The sequence below is a fragment of the Homo sapiens genome, chromosome 9 (assembly GCF_000001405.40).
Source record: "Homo sapiens chromosome 9, GRCh38.p14 Primary Assembly".
Lineage (NCBI taxonomy): Eukaryota > Metazoa > Chordata > Mammalia > Primates > Hominidae > Homo > Homo sapiens.
In genome coordinates, this window is record NC_000009.12 from 120,544,110 (window position 1) to 120,569,758 (window position 25,649).

Below are 25,649 nucleotides of genomic sequence, written 5' to 3' on the forward strand. Positions count from 1 at the left end.
ACAACCCTGAGCAGTTTGGGAAATATACACATATAAACATGTGCACAAGCCTCCAAAATACTCAATCCCATGTGTTGCTATTGAGGAGTGTATGCAAGCCTTTGTGAGCTGAGGTTTCCATGTGTACGAGCTTAACTAAAAACTAGTCCAAGCCAAGACCTGTAGCAGGCAGGGCACTGAGTATGAAATAGACCAAATTCCATTACTGATCTTCAAGCTTGAAAAAGCAGATTTGCCTCCCTGCCCAGAAAATAATCTACTTCAAAAAACAACAACAACAATAACAACTTGTTAATCTGGTGATATTTATTACTTCATTCACTCATTCATTCAGAAAATACCAAGTGTGCAAGTTCAGCATAACCTGGAGAAGAAGCCTGGGCCTGGCATCCTCTAGTCTGCTGAAAGCCAACAGCAGGCCAGCTTCCAGCTGCTGGACCCTGTGGCAATGAAGGGAATTATACTGGCCTGGCCCAGAGCAGTGCAGCCATGCCCTAAACCAAGAACTCCATGGTCCTGGCCTACCACACCCAGCAGGAACTCTATTGCCAGGACAAATGAAGCATTTCCACATAAGCTTCTGGCTAGGATCCTCGGTGAGGCAACCCTGGAAAGTCTTATTCCACTGTCACAGAACAAAACTTAGCACACTTTGGTGTTGCCACTTTACCCACAACACCCTCCATCACTGTACCTTCCTGGCATGTTATTTTTCACAGGTGTGATGGGCAGCTCACCAGTCTCTGATGAGCTCTTGGAGTAGAAGGGTGGAGGGCTGTCTCTTTTCAGATCTTCGGGCAGATGTTAGACTCGAAATACTTGTGTATTTCACAAGTTACTATGTAATAAATGTTTACGAATGAGTGAAAAATCAATTGATTCACTGACTGTATTTGCTGAACTGTGCTTGTTGTTCAATATTTTAATAAATGAAAATACTACTTTTCAAATGTTTTTTAAGGAGGAGAACCTCTCTCAAGCAAAATATTACGAGGGTCCCTAGGACACTTAACAGATCTTAAAGAAAAAAAAAAGACATTTACTGTGGCTGAAGCCCCATCCTCTGTCTCCCTGCCTCACCCATCAGGACCCCTTCAAGTCACCCCAGGCTTTTACAACAGTAAGAATTGAACTACTGATATAATTAACAACATAGATCAATCTCACAAATATATTGTTGAGGAAAGAAGCCAGACACAAAAGAGAATCTACTATATAATTCCTTTTATATAAAGTTTAAAAACAGGCAGAACTAACAGTGGTCAGAATGGTAGTTATCTTTAGGGGAGAAAGGTGAGCTCTGAGAACACAAAGAGGGCTTCTGGGGGGCTGGCATGTTCTGTTTCCTGATCTGGATGGTAGCTCCACAGGTGTGTTTGCTTGTGAACATTCACGCTGTACACTTAAGATCTGTTCATTTTTCTATAAGCATGGTATATCTTAAAAGCTTGTTGAAAAGTAAATAATTAAGTAAAAACAAAAACCTCCTTGCAGTCCTCAGAGTCCAGATGGAAACCAACTGTCTTAGAAAAGTGTACGGCTCTATTTCACTGACCAACCCAGTGTGGGCGACTTGCAAGCTTTCAACGGATGATGGTACTCACGAGGCTTTGATGAGCAGCTGCTCTCTCTCCTGGAGTTCCCGCTTCAGACTTTCTACTTCCACCTTGAGCTCAATGTTCTACAAAACAAGATTAAGAAAGAAAAGAAACAATGTAAAATAGAGGACCTATGAATGTCAACAATGGGGAAACTGCTTCCAGCACAGACTGACTACAGGATGCTTGTAATAGGCAGATGTTAGATTCCAAAAACCCTCATTAGCCTCAGGGCACAGGGAAAAGGGAATTATTAAACACTGGTGGTCTCAAAAGAAAGACCTAGATTTTGTGAGACTTGGAACAATTATGTAAATGCTCCAAGCTTCTAACAGCCAGAGCATTCAAATATCAAGGCATAAATGTCATACAAGGAAGGCTGATTTAAAAATTGTATGCCCTCCACCAAGCAAATTTACAAGCAATTCTGCGGTGTGTTTTTCCCATTCCAAAGCAATTACTGGTGGTTGTTTACAATCATGCATGTGGTGGATGCAGCAGTGGGAACGTGTTACAGCTTAAAAAAAAATAAAACATGTGGATGGAAAACAGGAGACCACATCATGGCATGTGTCATTTCAATATAAGATTTCAGGGTTCTCACTTAAAGCTACAACCACATGGGGCAAGCTGTCTATAAGGAGCACCGCAATGTTCTCCAACCAAATGTCTTCCTCTTAACTGACTGGAACAAAGGGAGTTGCACACAGCCTTGGGCTTATAACTCACGTGAGAATCCAGGGCAAATGGAATTCAATATGAGACAGCTGAACAGTGGCAGACTTCTCAAACTTATCTACAAATGTATCCCAGACAGAATATTAGATGAACTCAAGTAGTAGATGGGGGTTTGGGTGCATCGTTTGTGGAAGACTGCTGTAAATCTACAATTTATTGGAAATCTCCCTTTTGTTTTTTTGTTTTTTTGTTTTTTTATTTAGAGGCAGAGTCTTGCTCTGCTGTTGCCCAGCCTGGAGTGCAGTGGTACTATCATAGCTCACTGCAGGCCTCAAACTCCTGGGCTCAAGGGATCCTCCCACCTCAACCTCCTGAGTATCTGGGACTATAGGCGTGCACTGCCACACCCGTCTTTTCGTTTGTTTGTTTGTTTTACAGATTGGGTCTTGCTATATCGCACAGGCTGGTCTTAAACTTCTGGCTTCAAATGATACTCCTGCTTCAGCCTCCCAAAGCACTGGGCTTACAGCTCCTCTTTTATTTTAATAATCCATGCCAATTTTATATTCTACTCCATAATACATGTGTTTTTTGTTTTTTCGTTTTTTTTGTTTTTTTGAGATGAAATCTTGCTCTTGTCACCCAGTCTGGAGTGCAGTGGTGCGATCTCAGCTCACTGCAACCTCCACCTCCCAGGTTCAAGCAATCCTCCTGCCTCAGCCTCCGAGTAGCTGGGATTATAGTAGGCACCTGCAACCACGCCCAGCTAATTTTTTGTATTTTTAGTTGAGACGGGGTTTCGCCACGTTGGCCAGGCTGGTCTTGAACTCCTGACCTCAAGTGATCCGCCTGCCTTGGCCTCTCAAAGTGCTGGGATTACAGGCGTGAGCCACCGCATCCGGCCATATGTGTATTATTTAAACAAAAATATTTCCAGGCCGGGCGCAGTGGTTCACACCTATAACCCTAGCAGTTTGGGAGGCTGAGGTGGGCGGATCACTTGAGGTCAGGAGTTCGAGACCAGCCTGGCCAACATGGCAAAACACTGTCTCAGCTAAAAATACAAAAATTAGCCAGGAGTGGTGGCACATGCCTGTAGTCCCAGGTATTTGGAAGGCTGAGGCAGAAGAATCGCTCGAACCCAGGAGGCAGAGGTCGCAGTGAGCCAAGATTGCACCACTGCACTCCAGCCTAGGCGACAGAGCGAGACTCCATCTCAAAAAAAAAAAATCATTTCCAGTAAGATTTACCGTCTCACAGGATATGCCTCCCTCCTTTCTGGCAAGCAGCCCTAGAGAAGCAAGTACTTCACGTTGAGAAGTACAGCCATGACAGTAAGGTCATGGGTGTGTGAACAAAAGGACATAGGTTTAAATTCTGTCTCTACTCCCTACCAGGAGGAGACCACAAAGTCAGTGGCTCCTCACTTACTCACTCCTTCACGTCACAGAAACTTACCAAGCACCTGTGATGGACCAACCACAGAAGACACTGAAGTGAACAAGACATGCTAACGTGGAATACAAAACTAGAAGCACAATACTTTAACTGTCCTTAGACATATAAGTCCACAGGGTGAGAAAGCAATGCTTCTCCTTTCTAATCCTCAAGTGTCAAAAACAAAACATAAAAGCTCCCATGACATGGGGGCCTTAAGGACTATAATGAGCTAGCAAATGAGAAAAGCCTCGGAGACAGGGCTCAAAATAGGTTATCTTCTTCACTGTCAAACAACAAGAATTAAAGAAGTCATCTATGAGGCAGAACTTTTTCTTGAAGAAAGTGATCTTTGCAAAAAGGACACTGGGTGACAGTGTATAATATCTTCAAGTGTAATTTTGTGAAAAATGCAGAAACATCCTTCAAACAGAGGATTCTTTTTCCAGCTCTCAGAAGGGTGGAGAGCTTCTATTTATGAACTGATATAATATACTCTACGTGCTTCACTTTCTGATGAACCAACAGGCACTCCAATTTAATACATTTAAAAGAATGAATGCTAACATGTCCATTCGGTTATTTTTCTCAAGCCCAATATCTCAAGTTATAAACTTATATACATAATTGTAATTTCCAAACCAAAAGTCAGGGCACCTTCAAAGAGTAAAATGGAATATTATGAAACTATTAAAAAAGGCATCTTAGTGCAATGGCTCACACCTGTAAGTCCCAACACTTTGGGAAGCCAAGGCAGGAGGATGGTTTGAGGCTAGAAGTTCAAGACCAGCCTTGGGCAACATAGCAAGACCCCATCTCTACAAAAAGCAAAAATTTAAAAATGCCAGGTGTGGTGGTGCATGCCTGTAGTCCCAACTACTCAGGAGACTGAGGTGGGAGGATACCTTCAGCCCAAGAGTTCAAGGTTGCAGTGAGCTATGATCACACCACTACACTCCAGCTCGGTGACAGAGTGAGATACTGTCTCAAAAACAAAAAGAATAAAGAAATTCATTCTTAAACTACTATTAAAGAAAGATATCATTAAGTAAGGCGAGGCGCAGTGCCTCACGCCTATAATCCAAGCACTTTGGGAGGCCAAGGCAGGTGGATCACTTGAGGCCAGGAGTTTGAGACCAGCCTGGAGAACATGGGGAAACCCCATCTCTACCAAAAGTACAAAAATTAGCCAGGCGTGCTGGCGTGCACATGTAATCCCAGCTAATCAGGAGGCTGAGGACAGGAATTGCTTGAACCTGGGAGGCAGAGGTTGCAGTAAGCCAAGATTGTGCCACTGCACTCCAGCCTGGGCAACAGACGGAGACTCTGTCTCAAAAAAAAAAAAAAAAAGAGACAGAAAGATATCATTAAGCGAAAAATATAAGGTGCAGAACAGAACATGCTTGCACTTATGTAAAAAGAGGGTTTATACACATACACACACACAAACACACGCTTGCTTATACTATATATACATAAAATTCCTCTGCATAAGCAATCAATATTTATTAGATCTAGAGGACCAGGACACAAGGGTGGAAGAGTGTTTTCAGTGTATATCTCTTAGGCTTTTTGAATTCTAAACCATGTGCACCTATCCAAAAACTTACACTGAAGAAAGGGGCAATGAAATCAAGTCATCTAGTCAGACAATTGAAGTGGTATAGTACAATGAGATTGGAAGACCTGGGCTCAAAATCCACCTCACGTAGTAGCTATATGACATCAGGTGGGTTACTCATCTATAAGCCTCAGTTTCTTCCCCTGTAAGATGAAGATAAACTCCACGGCACAGGACTGTCATGAGAATTACAATAAGATGCAAATGTACAGATACCCAAGACAGTGCCTGATAGAGTTGGCAACAGACACGTTTTGTATTCCTATCACCCAAGAGGTTCTAGACGCATGACCACCATACTCACGTATAAACTGCTTTAGGCTATTGGTTTTCCTTTAAAATTGTGATTGCATCACTACTCCCTTCCAGAAAAGGGGACATCCTCACTGTCTTTCCACTCCCAGAGTGAAGAAAAAAACTTTCATAAGGGACAAAGAAGCTTTCCAATTCTTGAAAAGGCTCAGAAGTACAGCACAATCCCTCTTCAAGACAAGTCAATTTAAGTTCATCTGCTGAAACTCAAGGAGAGTTCTTTTTCCTCCTTCAAAAGTTTCCACTGGTGCAAACTTCAGAGGAGAAAAGTCAGAATAATTCCCAGGCCAAGGGCTAATCTACTAGAAAAAGCCAAGAAACAGGCACTGAAATATTGTTTGTACTCCTGTCTTTTCAAGAAAGCCAAGTTCTTTTTTCAGTTTTCAGAACCAAGGTTTGTTTTCAGACAAAGACCTGCAGGTCAAGACTTCAAATGAGGATAGGCTTTTCTTCTGACAGTTACAGGCAAGCACACAGGAATACCGAAGAGTCCTATCACAGAAAAACTGACAATCCTAACTTTGGGCTGCCAAAGGAAGCCTCAAGAAGACGGTAATTGTCAAGCACTGACTGTGTGCTGGAGCTTTTCATCTGTCTTCTCATTTTAATTCATACAAATAACCCTATGACAAAGGGATTATCACTTAATTCTGGAAGCAAGCCCCAAAAGCTAAACTGACTTGCCTAAGTTACACAAGTTACCTGGTAACAGTAGAATTCAACTCCAAAACCATTCCACCATTCCACTGCCTGTTTCTAAAGAACACGTAATTATAAAAACTTAACTGAGGTAAAAAGTAGTGAATCTGAATTCTGATTTTTAAAAGACAGTGAAAGACTTTCTTAAAATTAATCATGTACCCCTTTGCTTAATATTAAAGTCATCCTAATATCTTTATGCTCCCCATAATCAATTCAGATTAAATGAAAGCATCTCTATTCATACTAACTCTAAGAACAAATATTAATCAAATTTCTGCTTGAAATGACAATGAGAAAGGACACAAGGGACAGTAATGAGAAATGGGCCACTCACAGTTTTGTAGATATGTTCAGTGGGGCCATGAAATTCCTGTTGCATTCTTTCCTCAAGGAAATAGATGCGGAGCTTTAGGTTAAAGTTTTCTTTCTTCAATTCAGTGATTTGCTGAAAAATATCACAGAAGGGTCATCAAAAGCAAACAAAAGACAGAGGGTCCAACAGATAGTACATACATTAGTCGCTATGGATTACGAGGCTACAAAACTGATTCAAATGTTAAATACTAGAGAAAGCTTATTTTTGCTACCATTCTACTAACCCAGAAGAATTAAGTGGTTCCCACTAGCCAAAGTTAGTACAATTTGAGCATTAAAATGAATAATGACAGGAATGAATAATGACTGAATAAAGAAAGAATTCAAAACTCCACACTGATAATAAGAAGAAAAGGAAAAGAAGAATTTCTTCTTTTCAAAAGAAATCCAGTTAATAAATGTAGAATACAAGGAACAGAAAATCACTATTTTAAAACCTCTACAGTAATGATTGATTAAGGTAAGAATCAGCAGCACTAAAAGCATTAGATGAAAGATCACTACAGAACATAATATTCAGACAGTCATAACATATCACCCACAAATGGCTTATTAATTACAAAAGGAAAAGGTAACCTTACAATTTAGGAAACTTGCGAACACCATCTTGACCAAAAAAATTCATCTCTTATCACCATTGAAGGGATAAACTAACATTATTTTCCTCCTGAAATAAATCAATGAGAGCAAATAATTCCATCCAAAGTGCTTCTGTCTATAACCTTTAACCTGTATCTAATCAAGAGGAGTCTACCAGATAAATCTAAGTTGAAGAACATTCTGCAAAACAACAGAACTGAACTCTTCAAAAATCTTAATGGCAATCCTAAGGCAAAAATGTTTGGTGAACTCTTCTAAATAAAAGGAGGTTGAAGAGGCATGACTACTAAGTACAATAGAATCTTGAATTTTTTACAGAAACAACCATATGATGATACCCGGGGAAACTTGAATAACAATTTTATATTAGGTAATAATATGATTTTACAGGAAAATGTCCTAAGAAAGAGACACATGCTAATGTACTTAAGAGTGCTGTGTGCAAAATAAACTACCATCAGAGTGAACAGGCAACCTACAGAATGGAAGAAAATGTTTGCAATCTACTCATCTGACAAAGGGCTAATATCCAGAATCTACAATGAACTCAAACAAATTTACAAGAAAAAAACAAACAACCCCATCAAAAAGTGGGCAAAGGATATGAACAGACACTTCTCAAAAGAAGACATTTATGCAGCCAAAAGACACATGAAAAAATGCTCATCATCACTGGCCATCAGAGAAATGCAAATCAAAACCACAATGAGATACCATCTCACACCAGTTACAATGGCAATCATTAAAAAGTCAGGAAACAACAGGTGCTGGAGAGGATGTGGAGAAATAGGAACACTTTTACACTGTTGGTGGGACTGTAAACTAGTTCAACCATTGTGGAAGTCAGTGTGGCGATTCCTCAGGGATCTAGAACTAGAAATACCATTTGACCCAGCAATCCCATTACTGGGTATATACCCAAAGGATTATAAATCATGCTGCTATAAAGACACACGCACACGTATGTTCACTGCAGCACTATTCACAATAGCAAAGGCTTGGAACCAAGCCAAATGTCCAACAACGATAGACTGGATTAAGAAAATGTGGCACATATACACCATGGAATACTATGCAGCCATAAAAAAGGATGAATTCATGTCCTTTGTAGGGACGTGGATGAAGCTGGAAACCAACATTCTCAGCAAACTATCGCAAGGATAAAAAACCAAACACCACACGTTCTCACTCATAGGTGGGAATTGAACAATGAGAACACATGGACACAGGAAGGGGAACATCACACACCAGGGCCTGTTGTGGGGTGGGGGGAGGGGGGAGGGATAGCATTAGGAGATATACCTAATGTTAAATGATGAGTTAATGGGTGCAGCACAGCAACATGGCACATGTATACGTATGTAACGAACCTGCACATTGTGCACATGTACCCTAAAACTTAAAGTTTAATTTAAAAAAAAAAAAGAGTGCTGTGTCATGACATCTGCAATTAACTCAAATGAGTAGAGACAGGAAAAAAAGAGATAAAGCAAATACAGAAAACATTAACTGGTGAATCTAGATGAATATACATGGTTGTTCACTGTGCTATTTTGCAACTTTTCATACGCTTGAAATCTGTCACAATAAAAAGTTGGGGGAAAAAATAGTATATTAAGAAAAAGTATATTTACTGAGAACCTACCATGTAAACAAGCACCAAGCTAGATAATTTATATACAATATCTCAATTCTTAAAGTAACACTGCAAAAGTACTGCCTCCACTATATACATGATCAAAGATCACGCCAGTAGGGGAAGAGCTGGGATTCCTATACTTCTGTCTGACTCCAGTAACTATGATCTGTCAATTCAGCCTCACTGCCTATAGAGAAAATTCCTGATTTTTTTTTGGTTTGGTTCATCCAGTAAACTTTTCTGTGCAGTCTAACTTAACTTCAAGAACAGATATTAGCCTACACAGTAAAGCAATTCCTAGTATGCTTCTATCACCATGTTTAAATAGCTAAATGTTCTCCAAAATCCTACCAACATCCCCAGTTTCTCCCTCTCTGTTTCATACATTTTTAAGTCTCTGCCTTTGTGGGAAAAAAAATTCCTCTCGTTACCCTGTTATAAAGAGAGTGACAGAAACACAAGCTAGGAAGGGACTTTAAATTAGTCCAGGATGATGGTTACCTTTGGGGAGGAAAAGTGCATAGTGCTTGGAATGAGCCACAAAGCAAACTTCTAGGGCACTGATAATGTACCATGTCTTGGCTTTGGTGATGGTTATAGGGTATGCTCCTTTTTTGATAATTCATTAAACTGTTCACATATGATTTGTGGGTATGCCTGCATGTATGTTACATTTCTTTTAAAGTTTATTTATTTTTTTATTTTTTAAAGATGATGTCTTGCTCTATCACCCAGGTTGGAATGAAGTGGTATAATCGCAGCTCACTGCAGCCTCAAACTCCTAGGCTCAAGGATTCCTCTCACCTAAGCCTCCCAAAGTGCTGGGATTATAGGTGCAAGCCATCACACTTGGCCTCATTTTTTAAAGTTTTTAAAGTCAAATAGTCTACTAGTCTATAGTTAATATGAATTATTAAAAGTCAATTCATCCATGGTTAAGTAAATTATAGTATGTTAACTCAATAGAATATGATAGAACCATAAAGAAGAATGAGAGACCACATTGTGCACTCATAGGAAATTAAGTCCAAGATACATTGTTAAATAAAAACACTACAGTATGGGACATTATATAGATAGGTTACTATTTTTTAAAAGGGCAGGGGATATGAATACATAATTATTTACTTGATATGACAGTAGGCATAAAGAAGTACACTGTATATTTGTACCATATAAATTTCCCATAAATGAAATAAATTTAAATAATAGATAAATGCAATCTTTTTTTGAGACTCTGAATTGTGAAGCGAGTGCTGATGATATTTACTAAATGCAGTGTGTCTGTCCACATTATAGTTCATGCATCTGTTGTTCTCTTTCCATTCTCAAAGTCACTGTTCAAGCTCAGTTTTCAATGGTAAGGCAGAAAGATTAGTGGCTTTGGAGACAATATTAAGTTCAATCTTAACTCTCTTTCATGATGCAACCTAGACATGCTACTTCTTTGAGCCTCAGTTTCCTCAACTTTAAAACAGGGATAATAAAATCAATCTCATAGGTTTTTGAGAGAAGAAAATAAATGAATTTGACGATTTCAAAATGTGAAACTTTTTGTTTTTTTTGTTGTTGTTGTTGTTGAGACAGAGTCTCACTCTGTCACCCAGGCTGGAGTGCAATGGCGTAATCTTGGCACACTGCAACCTCCACCTCCCGGGTTCAAGCCATTCTCCTGCCTCAGCCTCCCGAGTAGCTGGGACTACAGGCATGTGCCACCATGCCCGGCTAATTTTTGTACTTTTAGTAGAGACAGGGTTCACCATGTTGGCCAGGCTGGTCTCAAACTCCTGACCTCGGGTGATTCTCCCACCTCAGCCTCCCAGAGTGCTGGGATTACAGGCATGAGTCACCACGCTCAGCCTCAAAATGTGAAACGTTTAAAGTCAAGTGACTAAAATGTTTGCAACATGCAAAATCATGTACTAAGACATAAGACAACAATCTTGAAATGAATGGAAAGATAGAAAGTCTCAGTGGAGAAACAGATATAAAAAAAGAATCAAGACCCTGTCCCTACAAAAAATGAGATACCGTACACACCTATTAGAATGGCTAAATTTTTTTGGGGGGGGGTGGGGGGCGGTGGGTAGACGGAGTCTCGCTTTATTGCCCAGGCTTGGCACAATCTTGGCTCACTGCAACTTCTGTCTCCCCGGTTCAAGTGATTCTCTTGCTTCAGCCTCCTGAGCAGCTGGGATTACAGGCACGCACTACCACGCTCGGCTAAGTTTTTGTATTTTTTTTTAAATAGAGACGAGGTTTCACCATGTTGGCCAGGCTGGTCTCGAACTCCTGACCTCAAGTGATCCGCCCGCCTTGGCCTCCCAAAGTGCTGGGATTACAGGCGTGAGCCACCCTGCCTGGCCCGGCAGATCACTTCTCTGTGGACCTCAGCTTCCATATCTGTTAAATGAGAGGACTGGGCCTCCCAAAGTGCTGGAATATGTGAGCCACCGTGCCTGGTAAAATAAAATTTTTTAATCGATAATACCAAGTGCTGATGTAGAATAAATGGTGTTCTCATACTCTGCTGATGCGAATGCAAAATGGCACAGACACTCTAGATATAGTTTGGCAATTTCTTGCAAAAAAAACTAGACTTAACATGTGACTCAACAATTCCACTCCTAGGTATTTATCCTAGAGACATGAAAACCTATGTTCACACAAAAAACCTGTACATAAATGTTTACTGCAGCTTTATTAATAATCACCAAAAGCTGGGAGAAACTCTTACGTCCCTCAGAGGGTGAATGGATAAACAGTAGACATCCATATGACAGAATAGTGCTCAGCAACTATGAAACACACAACGTAAATAAAATTCAAAGACATTATGCTGAGGCAAAGAAGACAGTCTGAAAAGATTACATACTGTATGATTCCATTTATACGACATTCTGGGAAAAGCAAAATTACAAGGACAGAGAACAGGGCATTAGTTGCCACAGGCTTGGGGTGAAGAGAGGATTTGACCACAAAGAAGCAAAAAAAAGGGAAGTTGTTGATATTACGGAACTGTTCTATATTCTGATTGTGGTGATCATTACACGTGCCAAGAACTGCACACACATATAAAAAACTATAACCACACATACATACATATAGATTACAATAGTGATTACAAGGGAATATACATCTGTCAGAGTTCATCCAACACCTAAAATTGGTGCATTTTATTTTATGTAAATTATATCTCAATAAAGCTGATTTTTAAAATAACTAAAATGAAATAGGGCAAAATGTGAAAAGCTACACTTGGACGCTAGTACATCTTCACACATAAACACTCATCACGTATTTTTTTCAGCGTTTTAAAAAATAATTTTTAATAGCATATCATATTCTTTTTAGTAAATACTTTTTTTTTTTTTTGAGACAGAGTCTCGCTCTGTCACCCAGGCTGGAGTGCAGTGGTGCAATCTCAGCTCACTGCAACCTCCGCCTCCCGGGTTCAAGCGATTCTCCTGCCTCAGTCTCCCAAGTAGCTGGGATTACAGGTGGGTGTCACCACGCCCATCTAATTTTTTTATTTTTAGTAGAGATGGGGTTTCACCATGTTGGCCAGGCTGGTCTTGAACTCCTGACCTCAGGCGATCCACTCGCCTCAGCCTCCCAACGTGCTGGGATTACAGGTGTGACCCACCACACCCGGCCCATAAATACAATTTTATGACTGAATAAAAGAAAACGATAAGCATATTTCACATTAAGTATATTTTGAAACTGTCTACCCTTGGCCCTCTTGTTAACACTTAAGGTTTCAATTTTGTGGTTAATAAGAACAGCACAAGAAACAACTGGTAGGTTCATTAGCACCTCCTTTTAAGGAAACAGCACATAAAACATTCATTCAAACAAAAAACGACTACCCCGCCAGATGCTTCCTATAAAGAGAAACCTTATTCTGTTACTCAGCTACCAATAAAATATTTATGTAGGTTGCTTAGAATGCCCCCATTGTACACAATGCTAAAATTCTTAACAACACTTGAAAGAATATTTGTCCTATTTATAGGTAAAGAAATTTTTGTATATGGCAAAGCAAAATACGCCTTTAGAAGGTCACAGCAAACAACAGACAGTCCCAAATGAATAAAATGAAATACAAGCACCATCTTTTCCACCATGGCCAGTTCAGTTCTCTGCTTAGTACCACTTTCCTCACAGTTTTCTCTGAATACCACTACCAGGCTGGACTGGGGATCCTTCTTCATGTTTCCACACACTCTCTACTTTATCAGAGCAATGCCCATACTGCATTGTCCTAGCTGGATACTCGGCTTTCTACCCACCCCCATCCCATAACCTCCCTGTGCACTCTAGACTGTAACCCAACAGATGGTTACTAAATAGCCAATGGTTGGCAGAATAGATGGACAGACACATTTAAGAATTTCTTGGCCAGGCAGTGTGGCTCACACCTGTAATCCCAACACTTTGGTAGGCAGAGCCAGAAGGCTCACTTGAGCCCAGGAGTTTAGGACCAATCTGGACAACATGGCGAAACCACTTCTCTACAAAAAATTTTTTAAAAATTAGCTGGGTATAGTGGCACACACCTGTAGTCCCAGCTACTCGAGTGGCTGAGGCTGGAGGATCACTTGAGGCCAGGAGGTCGAAGCTACAGTAAGCCATGATCATGCTACTGCACTCCAGCCTGGGTGACAGAGTGAGACCCTCTGTCAAAAAAAAACTTTTTTTTTTTTTTTTGAGACAGTCTCGCTCTGTCACCCAGGCTGGAGTGCAGTGGTGCAATCTCGGCTCACTGCAACCTCCGCCTTCCGGGTTCAAGCGATTCTCCCTGCTTCAGCCTCCCGAGCAGCTGGGATTACAGGTGCCCGCCACCACACCTGGCTAATTTTTGTAGTTTTAATAGAGACGAGTTTTCACCATGTTGGCCAGGCTGATCTCGAACTCCTGACCTCAGGTGATTTGCCCACCTCGGCCTCCCAAAGTGCTGGGATTACAGGCGTGAGCCACCGTGCCCAGCCAAGAAATTCTTTTTTAAAAAATTTTTAGGCTGGGCACGGTGACTCACGCCTGTAATCCCAGCACTTTGGGAGGCCGAGGCAGGCAGATCATGAGGTCAAGAGATCGAGACCATCCTGGCCAACATGGTGAAACCCTGTCTCCATTAAAAATACAAAACTTAGCTGGGTGTACTGGTGTGCACCTGTAGTCCCAGCTACTCCGGAGGCTGAGGCAGGAGAATGGCTTGAACCCAGGAGGCGGAGCTTGCAGTGAGCCGAGATCACACCACTGCACTCCAGCCTGGCGACAGAGTGAGACTCCGTCTCAAAAAAAAAAAAAAAAAAAAAAAAAAAAAGAATTTCTTTAAGGCAGTGTGATGTAACAAGAGCCCCCTTAGACTTCAGACCGATCTGGTATACATCACTCCCTGGTTAAACCCTCTATTAGCTCTTTTTTCCATCATTCTTAGAATAAAACTCCCTGCCACAGCCACAAAGTGCTGTATCATCTGGCCCCTGTCCACCTCTCCAACCACATCAGGTATCATCTTCTCCCCTGTTCACAATATTCCAGCCTCACTGGCCTCCTTTCCAGTCCTGAAATAAGCCAAGCCCTTGTCTGCCTACAAAGCTCTTTCTGACGCGTCTGCCAGGGTGGCTCGATCTCATCCCTTCCACCTCAGCTCCAATGTCACTGCCTTGGGGAGGGCCTCTCCAACTACACCATCTAAAGTGGGCCCCATCTCTATGAACCCAACCAGCTCACTCTCTAATACATAGCTCTTACTTTCTTGCTAGAATTTTTCACAATCTGTATATGTTTCATCTCTTTGCATGTTTATTATTATCATGTTTATTACATGAATATAATCCACTTAATCTTTCATGGCTGTTTCCTCCAAGGTTTTAACAAGTATCTAGAACACAGTAGACGTTCAACAAATTGTTAAATGAGTGAACAAATTAATGAATAAATACAATCCAGACCACTTTACTAGCTGTATGGCCTTAATGAAGTTCACTTTTCCTACATGCCTCAGTTCCTCCATCTATAAAAAAGGGATTATTATAACCATCTCAAAAAGCTAGTCTAAGAATTAAAAGAAATTAATTAGAATGTTTAATATAGTTGCTAGTAAAACATAAGAATTTAAAACATTGAGGCCGGGCACGGTGGCTCACGCCTGTAATCCTAGCACTTTGGGAGGCCGAGGCGGGTGGATCACGAGGTCAGGAGATCGAGACCATCTGGCTAACACGATGAAACCCCGTCTCTACTAAAAATACAAAAAATCAGCCAAGCATGGTGGCGGGTGCCTGTAGTCCTAGCCAAGCGGGAGGCTGAGGCAGGAGAAGGGCATGAACCTGGGAAGCAGAGCTTGCAGTGAGCCGAGATCAGGCCACTGCACTCCAGCCTGGGCAACACAGAGCAAGACTCTGTCTCAAAAAAAAAAAAAAAAAAAAGAAAACAAAGAATTTAAAACATTGTTTTTCTCATGTGTACTTTTCCCCTTAAGAGAAACAAGAAAAAAAAAAAAAAAAAAACTTGAGGTGGAAAAACTGAAAACAGCTTACAATACAGTAGGAATAATTACCCAAAATATAAAACCCACAAAATATGACTTGGAAACCTAATGCTCAAAAGAAAGCTAATGCAAGGCTGTATTTGCCACATTCCAGCCCTTGGAAGCCATGTGTTACTGTGGAAGTGCAGCCATCTGAAATGGGAAACATCTCAACATGACTACAGGGTGGTGCTTTCTGAAACTGGAAAAGGGCCCCAGCTTAGCGGCAGGAAAAATTTTGCAGGAGCTACTAGTCAGTCATTCTGGGTTCCTCCTACTCCCATTCTCTGTCAAAAGCCTTGCCTAGCCTGAAGTTCCATCTAAAAGGGAAGAAAAACCAACAACATAAAAAGGAATCAGGGCAACTCCAACCCGCCCCACCTCAACTGAAATCTAAGCAAAGTACACCTAACTCTGGCTATCCGCTTCAATGGCTCACAAGAACCTGGGCCTCCAAAGCTGAGGCTCACCCTACCAAATCATCTTTCCACCCAAGACAGCAAGAGCTAAGAGCAAGAGCTCTCGGGCCAGCAGAAACAGACTAAACTACCAGAGCTGCTACTTTTGCAGTGTGTGACCTTGGGAAAATTATTTAACATCTTTGTCCAGTGTTGGCTCATCTATAAAATGAGGATAAAGTCAATTCCCTCACAGGGGTGTTGTGACAACTAAATGAGCTAAAGCACCTGGCAGAGCCTTGCACTTAGCAAGCAGGAAACACAGGATAGCGTTAAAAATCACGTAGAGTGAAGGCAACACCAAGGCACTAAAGGGAAGAGATCTTCTCCAACCCACCCATACTGCTGTCTCAAGGCCTGTGTTCTCCACTCACTATTGACCAGGAATGGTCTGTGCTGATCCTGGCTGTTGCTGACCCTGTGATTATGCTCCACTTGCCAGCCCATTCACAGTCTCAAGACAGTATGGCATCTTTCCTCCATGAAGTCATCAATTTTTAAATTTTTACATCTAGGGAAGTATTCTGGTCTGCATACATAGATGGTGGTATTGTCTCTTTTTTTTTGAGACAAGAGTCTCTCTCTGTCACCTAGGTTGGAGTGCAGTGGCGCGATCTCGGCTCACTGCAACCTCCGCCTTCCGGGCTCAAGCGATTCTCCTGCCTTAGCCTCCCAAGTAGCTGGGATTACAGGCACATGCCACCATGCCCAGCTAATTTTTTTATTTTTAGTAGAGACGGGGTTTCACCATGTTGGCCAGGCTGGTCTCAAACTCCTGACCCCAGGTGATATGCCCGCCTTGACTTCCCAAAGTGCTGGGATTACAGATGTGAGCCACCGCACCCAGCCGATATTGTCTATCTTAAATAATGGTATGTGTATACACACACACACAGTAAAGCCTTTTTTAAAAAGGAAAAAAAAAAATTGGCTTCTCAGGCCCTCAATAAGCAGATCTTTGGGCCACAATGAATTTTTTAACCTTTTTGAAAGTACAAACACTGTTAGACTTCACCTAGCATAACAAAAACCATGAACTTGGCTACCCAAAGTTCATCTCTAGTAAACAATACTGCATGTAAGATAATACTGCCTACAGCAGCTAAGTGAGGTAGTAAAGAGGGGAGGATACTTTGGAATCAATTTCTGATGCTGATACTCTCCTTGGTGTTTTCAAATCATCAAGAAAACTGTTACTAGGTAAGTATCTTATAAATAATACTGGAGAAATAACAGAATTTTTTTTTTAAACAGGGTCTCTCTCTGTCGCTCAGGCTAGAGTGCAGTGGCGCATTCATGGCTCACTGCAGCCTCAACCTCCCAGGCTCAAGCAATCCTTCCACCTTAGCCTCCCAAGTAGCTGGGACCACAAGCACACATCACCATGCCCAGCTAACTTTTTAATTTTTTTTTGTAGAAATGGGGTCTCACTTTGTGACCCAAGCTGGGTCACAACTCCTGGGTTCAAGCGATCCCCCTGCCTTGGTCTCCCAAAGTGCTGGGATTACAGGTGTGAGCCACCACACCCAGCCTCAATAACAGAAATTTAAAACTGAATCTCAAACACCAGTTGGAATTTAACTACCTTATGAAATCAACTATTTTCATATTCTTTTCAACCTTTGCTCATGAATACACATTTTTGCAGAATTATAACATAAGTGAATTTGCATATTCCATTGCTTTCATTTAATATTTCTTAAGTATTTTTCATATTGTGGCAGAATTACACAAAACTATCAGTTGAAATAACTGCACTACCTTGTGCTGAAGTGATTCACAGTCAACTGTTTAACCATTTCTCTGCTGTGCACTGATAGACTCAGTGTGCTCTCATGGAAAGTGACCAGCTTTACAATCAGAAAGACCAGGCTTGAATTTTGCCTTCTTTTTGCTTCTCAATCACAATAAGCTCATGGGCAAGTTGTTTAATCTCTCCAACCTCAGCTTCCTCATCTGTGAAATATCCTCAACACACGCTTGTCAAAAGCAAAGAGATAACAAATATAAAATATAATTTCCCTTCCTTCCAGTTTTTCACAATTATACACAATGTGGCAACAAACACCTTCATCAACAGAGCTTTATTCCTTCTACTGGGCTGTTTCCCTAGTATCAATTTCCCCAAAATGGATTATTGGGCTCAAGAGTAATTTTATATTTATGGCTATCAAAATCTCTTTCCAAATGGCCTTCAAAAAGATTGTAAAAATTTACACTACTCAGCCCTCCATCTGGCCAGGTTTTTGGAGGGCATGGCCAGGACATGCGAGGTACGGGAACTCAGAGCGTTCAATCCAGCAGGCCATCCCACTACACAAATGAACCCCTGTACTTAACACTTTTACCCCAACAGCCATGAGCCCTACTTGATTCCAAGTACTCAACTCAGCAAAAACCCCTAGCACCGTCAGGCTATATGTTGTGCACAGAGCTCCGTGGAAAGTGGCTATGACACTCGCTCTGCCAGCTACAGACCTGGTCTTCAGCCACTTCCACTGAGCGGCATCCCACACAATTCTTACACTCCTGCCATGTTCTAAGTTCACCCTCATTCTCCCACTCTTAGCCTCACCTTGCCCTCATTACTGCTTGCTTTCCTGACTCTGGCCCCGCATGCCCCCATCCTCATTATAAGCTGTCTGCCTCTAGATATGTCTCTAGGTATATCTCCTCTCCAGCCACTTTAGTAACAATAACCACAGTAGCCGCCCTGTTTGCTAAAGATCTGGTATAGCAGGCACTATCCTAGCATGTTATTTACTCCTCACCACAAGCCTCAGATAAACATTTTTCCCAGTTTTACAGATAAAGCAACCAAAATTTGGAGCTTTAGTATTCCATACAAGGTTACACATTCATTCAATCAACAAATATTAGATGCCTACGATTTTGTTAGGTTCAGCGTTGAGTACCAGACATTGAATAGAGACACATGTTAAGCAAGTACACTAATAAAGAAATAACCACAAACTGTCACAAGAGTCATGGTGGGAGAGACAGGGCGCTGAGTACTTGCTAGAAGACAGAATCATGAGTTGAGAAGGGAGTTGGGGTAGCCTCTCTAACAAGGCCACATTCAAGTTGAGGCAAGAAGGTCCAGGGGCCTGCCATTCAAGGAAAGGGAGAAAGGGTGTCCAGGCAGAGGGTGGAGCATGCACGTAGGCCCTGGCACAGGGACAAGCTGGGTGTGGCTGAGGAACAGCAGCCTGTGTGGCTAGAGCAGTGTACGACGGGGAGAGGAATATGCTGAGTTCAGAAAGACAGGAAGCTGTCGATCACACAGGACGGGTTCTCATGGGCCAAGATTAGGGATTTTATTCCAAGGTCAAAGAAACATCACAGAAGGATGTACAGAAACTGAACACTGATGGGGCAGAACCCAGGGCAGTGGTTGTAGTCAACGGAATCTTTGGATTAGAGCAGACAGACATCAGCATTCATTGAGTACCCTCTATGCACCAAGCATCATGCTAGGTGCTTTCCATACCTTACCTAATTAATAACTGAAGGAAAGATAGTAGTAGCCCCACTTTACACATGAGGTTTTAGAAGCAACCCATTTAAGGCCACAGATCAGTAAGTGGCAGGGCCAAGCCTGAAACCCAGTCCTCATCATTCTCAAATCCATGTCGTATCTACACACCATGGTGCTTCTGAAAGCTTCGGGGCCATACAAGTGGGGCAGGGGTGGAAGGTGAGGGAGCTATGATCTGGCAGTAAGTAACTCACAAACATATTATTGCAAATTTAAAGATGCAAACCTCCTAGTGAAACCACAAACAAAACACTCAAATTTGACCAACTGCCTCGGCTGAGGCCAAGAATTTTCAACAACAGGAATAAGGGCCTCAATGCAAGAATGCCAACATCTCAGGGCAGGTGGGCATAAGATAAGAACAACAAAAGATAAGGAGACCAGGTGTGGACAGGATACAGGCAATTGTTTCAGCCACACCTGGCTAAGAGTTCTTTCAATTCCTTGGAAAGGAAGCTGCTAGACATAACAAATCCTATTCCATAGTATCTACTGTTTATTGCATGTAAGTTATGCTTAATATCTCCGACATCCAGAAATCTCATTTCTAGGAATCTACCCTTAAAAAAAAGAAACACTCGGCGAGGCGTGGTGGCTCACGCCTGTAGTTCCAGCACTTTGGGAGGCCAAGGCAGGCGGATCACAAGGTCAGGAGATCAAGACCATCCTGGCTAACATGGTGAGACCATCCTGGCTAATAAAGTGAAACCCCACCTGTACTAAAAATACAAAAAATTAGCCAGGCATGGTGGCATACGCCTGTAATCCCAGCTACTAGGGAGGCTGAAGCAGGAGAATCGCTTGAACCCGGGAGGCTGCGGCTGCAGTGAGCCGAGATCGTGCCACTCCACTCCAGCCTGGGCAACAGAGTGAGACTCTGTCTCAAAAAAATAAAAAAATAAAAAATCATACAACTATAAAAAGATATATGCACAAGGAGATTCATCACAGCTTTGTTTATAAAAGTGAGAAATTAGAAACAACCTGAAATGTCCCACAGTAAGGTTATATAAATTATGGCTCAATCTATCCCTTTTATTAAGCCTTGATTTAATATTACACAGCCAGTAATAATGCCATCCATGAGTATTGAGAATGGAAAGTTATCCATGTCATTCCCTGTCAAAAGCCAAGATTAAACTCTTCCATATGTTCACAAAGATAGCTACTTGGACAGCATATGTTGTACCAGATTCTGGGTCTTCCCTACTCACCCAAAAAACATGTTTTTTAAAGGGAGAGAGAGATAGCAGTGTCCAGAACAACTCACAACAGGTACAGGCCTTCACAAAATGCTGCCTCCGCAAGGCCTCCTCTGGTCTAGGGAGGGAAGACCAATACGACAGGCTCCCATAGAAGAGCAACTGATTTACCGACTTCCTACCATAAGGCCTGCCATACAGGTGATTATACCCTCAGCTAATGAGGATATTAGACAATGGATTACCAGTTTAAAGACCAAAAAGAAGACATGTGGTTTTCACATGCCAGAGTGAGTACTCCCACAGAACAGTCAAATGAAATAGAAAGGAATTGCTTTGATAGAAGACCTGGGTTCAAAGCTGAATAAGTCCCTACCCCTGTCTGGGCTTCAGAGTCCCCACATGTCAAATGAAAGCACTGGAAGAGATGATTCTTAGAGCTCCTCCAGCTCTGAAATTAACTCCATTCTAAATATCCCTTCATTCCATGCCCTTAGCTCCACATTCCTCCCTTTGGGCCCACAACACCACAGCAGCCTTTTAACTCATCACCTTACCACCAGCCTTGCTCCCCTCCAAACTCTTCTCCTCATAGTCACCAGCCTGGTAAGCTTTTGAAAGCACAATTCTGGTCATTTCCCTCCCCAGATTAAAATCCATTGCTGGTTCCCTTTCATCTTCAGGACAAAAACCAAACAAAGCAGTGTAACATTCAAGAACCTGCAGGAGCTGGCCCCTGCCTGCTTCAATGGCCTCACTTCTCTCCACTCCCCTCACACAGCCTCCTTCCAGCCAGTAAGTTCAGGGAACTTACAGCTCTCTGAACTCATCAAACCCTGTCATGCCTCTCTCTACATTTGCACATGTGAGTCCCTGTGCCTGGGATGCTCCCTAGCTCTCCCCACTTGACCAAACCGTACCTGTCCCTGATGACCCAACTCAGGCAACATCTCCTCCAGAGGCTTCTCTGAACCCCGAGTCATAGCCCCTCCTCTGTGGCCCCACAGCACCCTAGACTTACCTCTGTCCCTGCACTATTTTCCTATCCATCTTCCCAATCAGACTGTGAGCCTCTGGACAGGGGGACTTACCTGGTCTTAATCCACTGCAGATTCCCCCTGGCAGAGAGCCTGGCACAGTGGCATATATTAAAAAATGTTTATTAAATGGATGAACTCTGAGGAAAACCAGAAGGTGACCTATGTGTTGCCAGCTCCCAACTAAATGCAACTCCTGATGGTTAGGTATCAATCATCTGAGACTAGAATAGGACGAATCATGAGTTTCCACTTTAAACCCAAAGTATCTCAGCCCCCTCCTTAATATGCATGCTCTTAAAATTAGCTTTAGGTGCCAAGAGCATTTCCTATAAGCATCCCACAGAAAGTTCAGACTACCACTACATACAGATCATGCATTTTGTAACTCAGGCCAAATGAAAAATTTCAGTGATTCATAAAGACCTGAAAGGGAGACATCAAGAACAGTGTGGCCATTTCAATTCCGGCTGCAGAATTTGCTCTTGAAAATGCTACAATAAAAAATATTAATGCCATAAAAACCTAACAGCAACCAAAGGACTACAGTCATAAAGAAAAAAACATAAATCCTAAAACATGTTGGCATAGAAGGCTCTCCCTCACCTTCAAGTAAAACAGGATTTAGGTCATCAAGAACACATCTGAACAAGGGGAACTTGAATCACATGGCAGAGTGGAAAAAAATAACAGTAATTATAACAATAACAGTAAGAAAAGGAAGAAGCAGTCATGGCAAACACATAGAATGTACTCTGTGCTTTGCAAATATTCACTCATTCAATCCTCCTAACAACCCTATGAAGTAGGTACTGTTATCATGCCCATTGTTAAAATGAGGGAAGTACAGAGAGGTTAAGTGACCGGCCACAGGGCACCCAGGAGAAGTGGACAAACAAGCAGCCTGGCTCCAGAAGCCAATGGGCCTTAGGCAGCACAGACTGCCTCTGAGAACAATTTTGTCACATCACATCCCTGGGCCTCAGTTTCTCCTATATATAATAAAGAGGGTTGTGTTCAATTCTAGGATTCCTTTCAGTTCAATAAGCAGATAAAAGATGTGAAACCAAAATTCTAATATTCTGTGAAATTTTCCAATTTAGAAATAAAATGTAAAACAGTGCCCTTCAAAAATGAAATAACTATCTTGCAGAGCCGCTTTAATATTAAAGTAACATATACAAAGAGCTTAGCACTTAAAGTACCCAGCTCAGAGCAAGAGCTCAATAAACAGTAGCTGTTATTACTCTTATGATAAAACAGGAACAACCATTTAATAGTAGAGCATATTTTAATTATACACGATGTAGAATAATCAAATCTCATTCGTTTGAGGCCCCAGACCCCACAGCATAGATCGAGTTGTACAGCTGAAATTATAACAACCCAAAGCTCAGAAATTACTTGTTTCCATTAGAGATCTGACAAGTCATTTCTTCAATTGGTCACTGGTGGTTTGCAGATAACTATTAGCAGTAATGAGCATTCTAAATTAAATCCAGAGACAGCACTGCTCTGTTCTGTAAAGACAACTGGGGAGAAAGAAACATAATTGTGGAATGTCCTTCTCTCTGTGTCCTCCATCTTCTCTCTGTTAAGTATCTCTTGTGTCTTGCATAGTATGGATTTCATTTGCTTACAAATGAAGAAGGGTCTAATTCTTCCCATGATAAATGAGAGCACTGAACAGGTAACTTGTTAAAGAGAACTGGAATTGGGAAAATAACCTTATTTTCCTGTTACTTGACAACAAACCCCCTCTGCTAATAAATGAAAGACACAATGCTGGAAGACATCAAGCATTGAAGCCAAATCCATCACCAAGTAATCCATTCTCAGAAAGAAACTACACAGTACTAGGTACAGGCTACTCACATTTCATTCAACAGCAAAGATAAAGTCTTCAAAATGCAAGGGGAGGCACAATGCAGTGGAAAGAATAATGGCTTTGGAATTAATAAAAACCTGGATTCAAATCCCAACTCTGACACTTATGTATTATATGACCATAAACAACTCTCTCCTAGTCTTAAGATTCCTAACCTGCAAAATGGGAATGATACAAAATATCTCAAAGGTTGCAGTGAGCATCAAATAGGGGACCATAAATAACATGCCTTATAGTAACAGTAAGGCCTTTGACAAATGTTAGCTCCCCTCAACTGTGCAACATGCGAACATCCTCACCTTTAGGACACCAGAAAGACACCAAACCTGAAAACCAAAGTTGAAAACCAAAAGTTTCACCCAAAGTTGAAAACTGCTGATCCCGTCAGAACCTATATTTGGCCCTTGTATAAAGGGCTGACTGCATTTGTACGTAAAAGTCTCACAGAAGATGTCCATGAGACATGGCACCCCCCTGCCTCTGGCATCACCGAACTTAGATCTCAAGAAACACAGCTTTCCTGGGTCTGGCTGGACAGTGGCAGCAGACACAATTTGTTGGGGGCAGTAATTTGGTATTTCCACTTACATTTTCAAAGTCCTTCATGTTCCGTGCTCTGGTGGGAGACACTGTTTCTTCTGACACATTTGGGAGCACTGTAAAAAGGTAAAATAGAGGAAAACGTCACAGCATGCAAACTGCCCAGTGTTCCTATTGGGGAATAGAGCACAGAGAGGAAAACAACACGAACTGCTTCCACAGTACACGCGGCTGGTACTTGCTGTCTTTTGTGATTTACTGATTTTGCTCCAGGGAAAGCTCTAAACCATTAATTTACAAATTACTTAAACTAACCCCAAAGTAACAATGTGCACATCAGAGGATGAACCCAGCAAACACATCAGGCATTTTGCAAAGCAGACTGTCCTGATATGTACTTCCTTATTTCATGAAATTACCTTACTGAACAGAGTGTCATCTTCTCACGTCAGTAATTACAACAAAGCACATCTAACTGACTTGACAGCAGGGGTTGGCAAACTTTTTCTTAAAACGCCAGACAATATTTTAGGCTTTGTGGGCCATACACAAAGCCTAAAATCTGTCACAACTACTCAAATCCTCTGTTGTCACACAAAAACAGCCACAAACAATCCATAAACAAAGTGGTTGTGTTCCAATAAAAGTTTATTTTCAAAAGCAAGCAGTGGACCGGAAACTGCTGACCTGTTTTAAAGACTATGGCAATACCCAAATCTCTCCGCAGCATCTTTAACTGAACAAACATGTATTACACACCTACTCGGTGCCAAGCCCCATCCTGCATGCTGAGGAAACAATGGTGAAGGAGACACTAATCCTGCATCCAAGAGGTTCCCTATCGAGTGAGCAGGATGGAGATCTAAACTAACTGTTATCAGGCTGAATAAAGCCCGTGGCACTTTGTAGGTGTTCAGTAAATGTGTGCTGAGTGAATAAGTTCATTCTTTCAAAATATATGCACTGAGAATCCACTTTCTGCTAGGCCCCTTTCTAGATGTGGAAACATCAGGAAACAAACAAATGCAGCCGATAGTCTAGAGGGAGGAAACACAATAAACAAAACAAAAGGACAACTGCATAATATGTTAAAAGGTGATAAATGCTATGGAGAAAAATAAAGTAGATAAGGATAGGAAATAGGAGGCATGGGGTGAGGACTGCCATTTTAGGTAAGGTGGTTAAGGAAGGTCTCAATGAGAAGGTGACATCTGGGCAGACTTGAAGAGAAAGGACCAGTTACCTGGGGGAGAATTCTCCACATTCAGGGAGAAGCCTGAGGTGGAAGCACGGTCCCCTGTGGGTCTGGGGAACAGTCAAGAGGCCAATAGGCTGGAGCTCAATAAACAAAGGGGGATAGCAGGACTGGAGGTGAGAGAGGTAAACAGGGACAGACTGTATACGGTTTTTAGGCTCTTCTAAGGACTCTGAGGAGCTGCTGGAAGGTTTGCAGCTAAGGAGTAAGATGATTCGACTTAGGTTTCTA

General features: G+C 41.8%; 1 protein-coding gene across 17 annotated transcripts in view; it reads right to left on the minus strand.

The window, feature by feature from the left end:
* The window catches only part of CDK5RAP2 (CDK5 regulatory subunit associated protein 2), a 191,293-nt gene that overhangs the window by 155,235 nt on the left and 10,409 nt on the right, over window positions 1-25,649 (minus strand). For all 17 annotated transcript variants that reach the window (NR_073558.2, NR_073556.2, NR_073554.2 and 14 more), the window contains exons 3-5: window positions 24,212-24,279; window positions 6,683-6,793; window positions 1,605-1,681 (exon numbers count right to left, since the gene is read on the minus strand). Coding sequence is in view for 12 of the 17 variants with exons in the window: in NM_001272039.2 (NP_001258968.1) it covers window positions 1,605-1,681; window positions 6,683-6,793; window positions 24,212-24,279 (256 nt within the window). In the remaining 5 variants the exon portion in view is untranslated. The remainder of the gene's footprint in view (window positions 1-1,604; window positions 1,682-6,682; window positions 6,794-24,211; window positions 24,280-25,649) is intronic.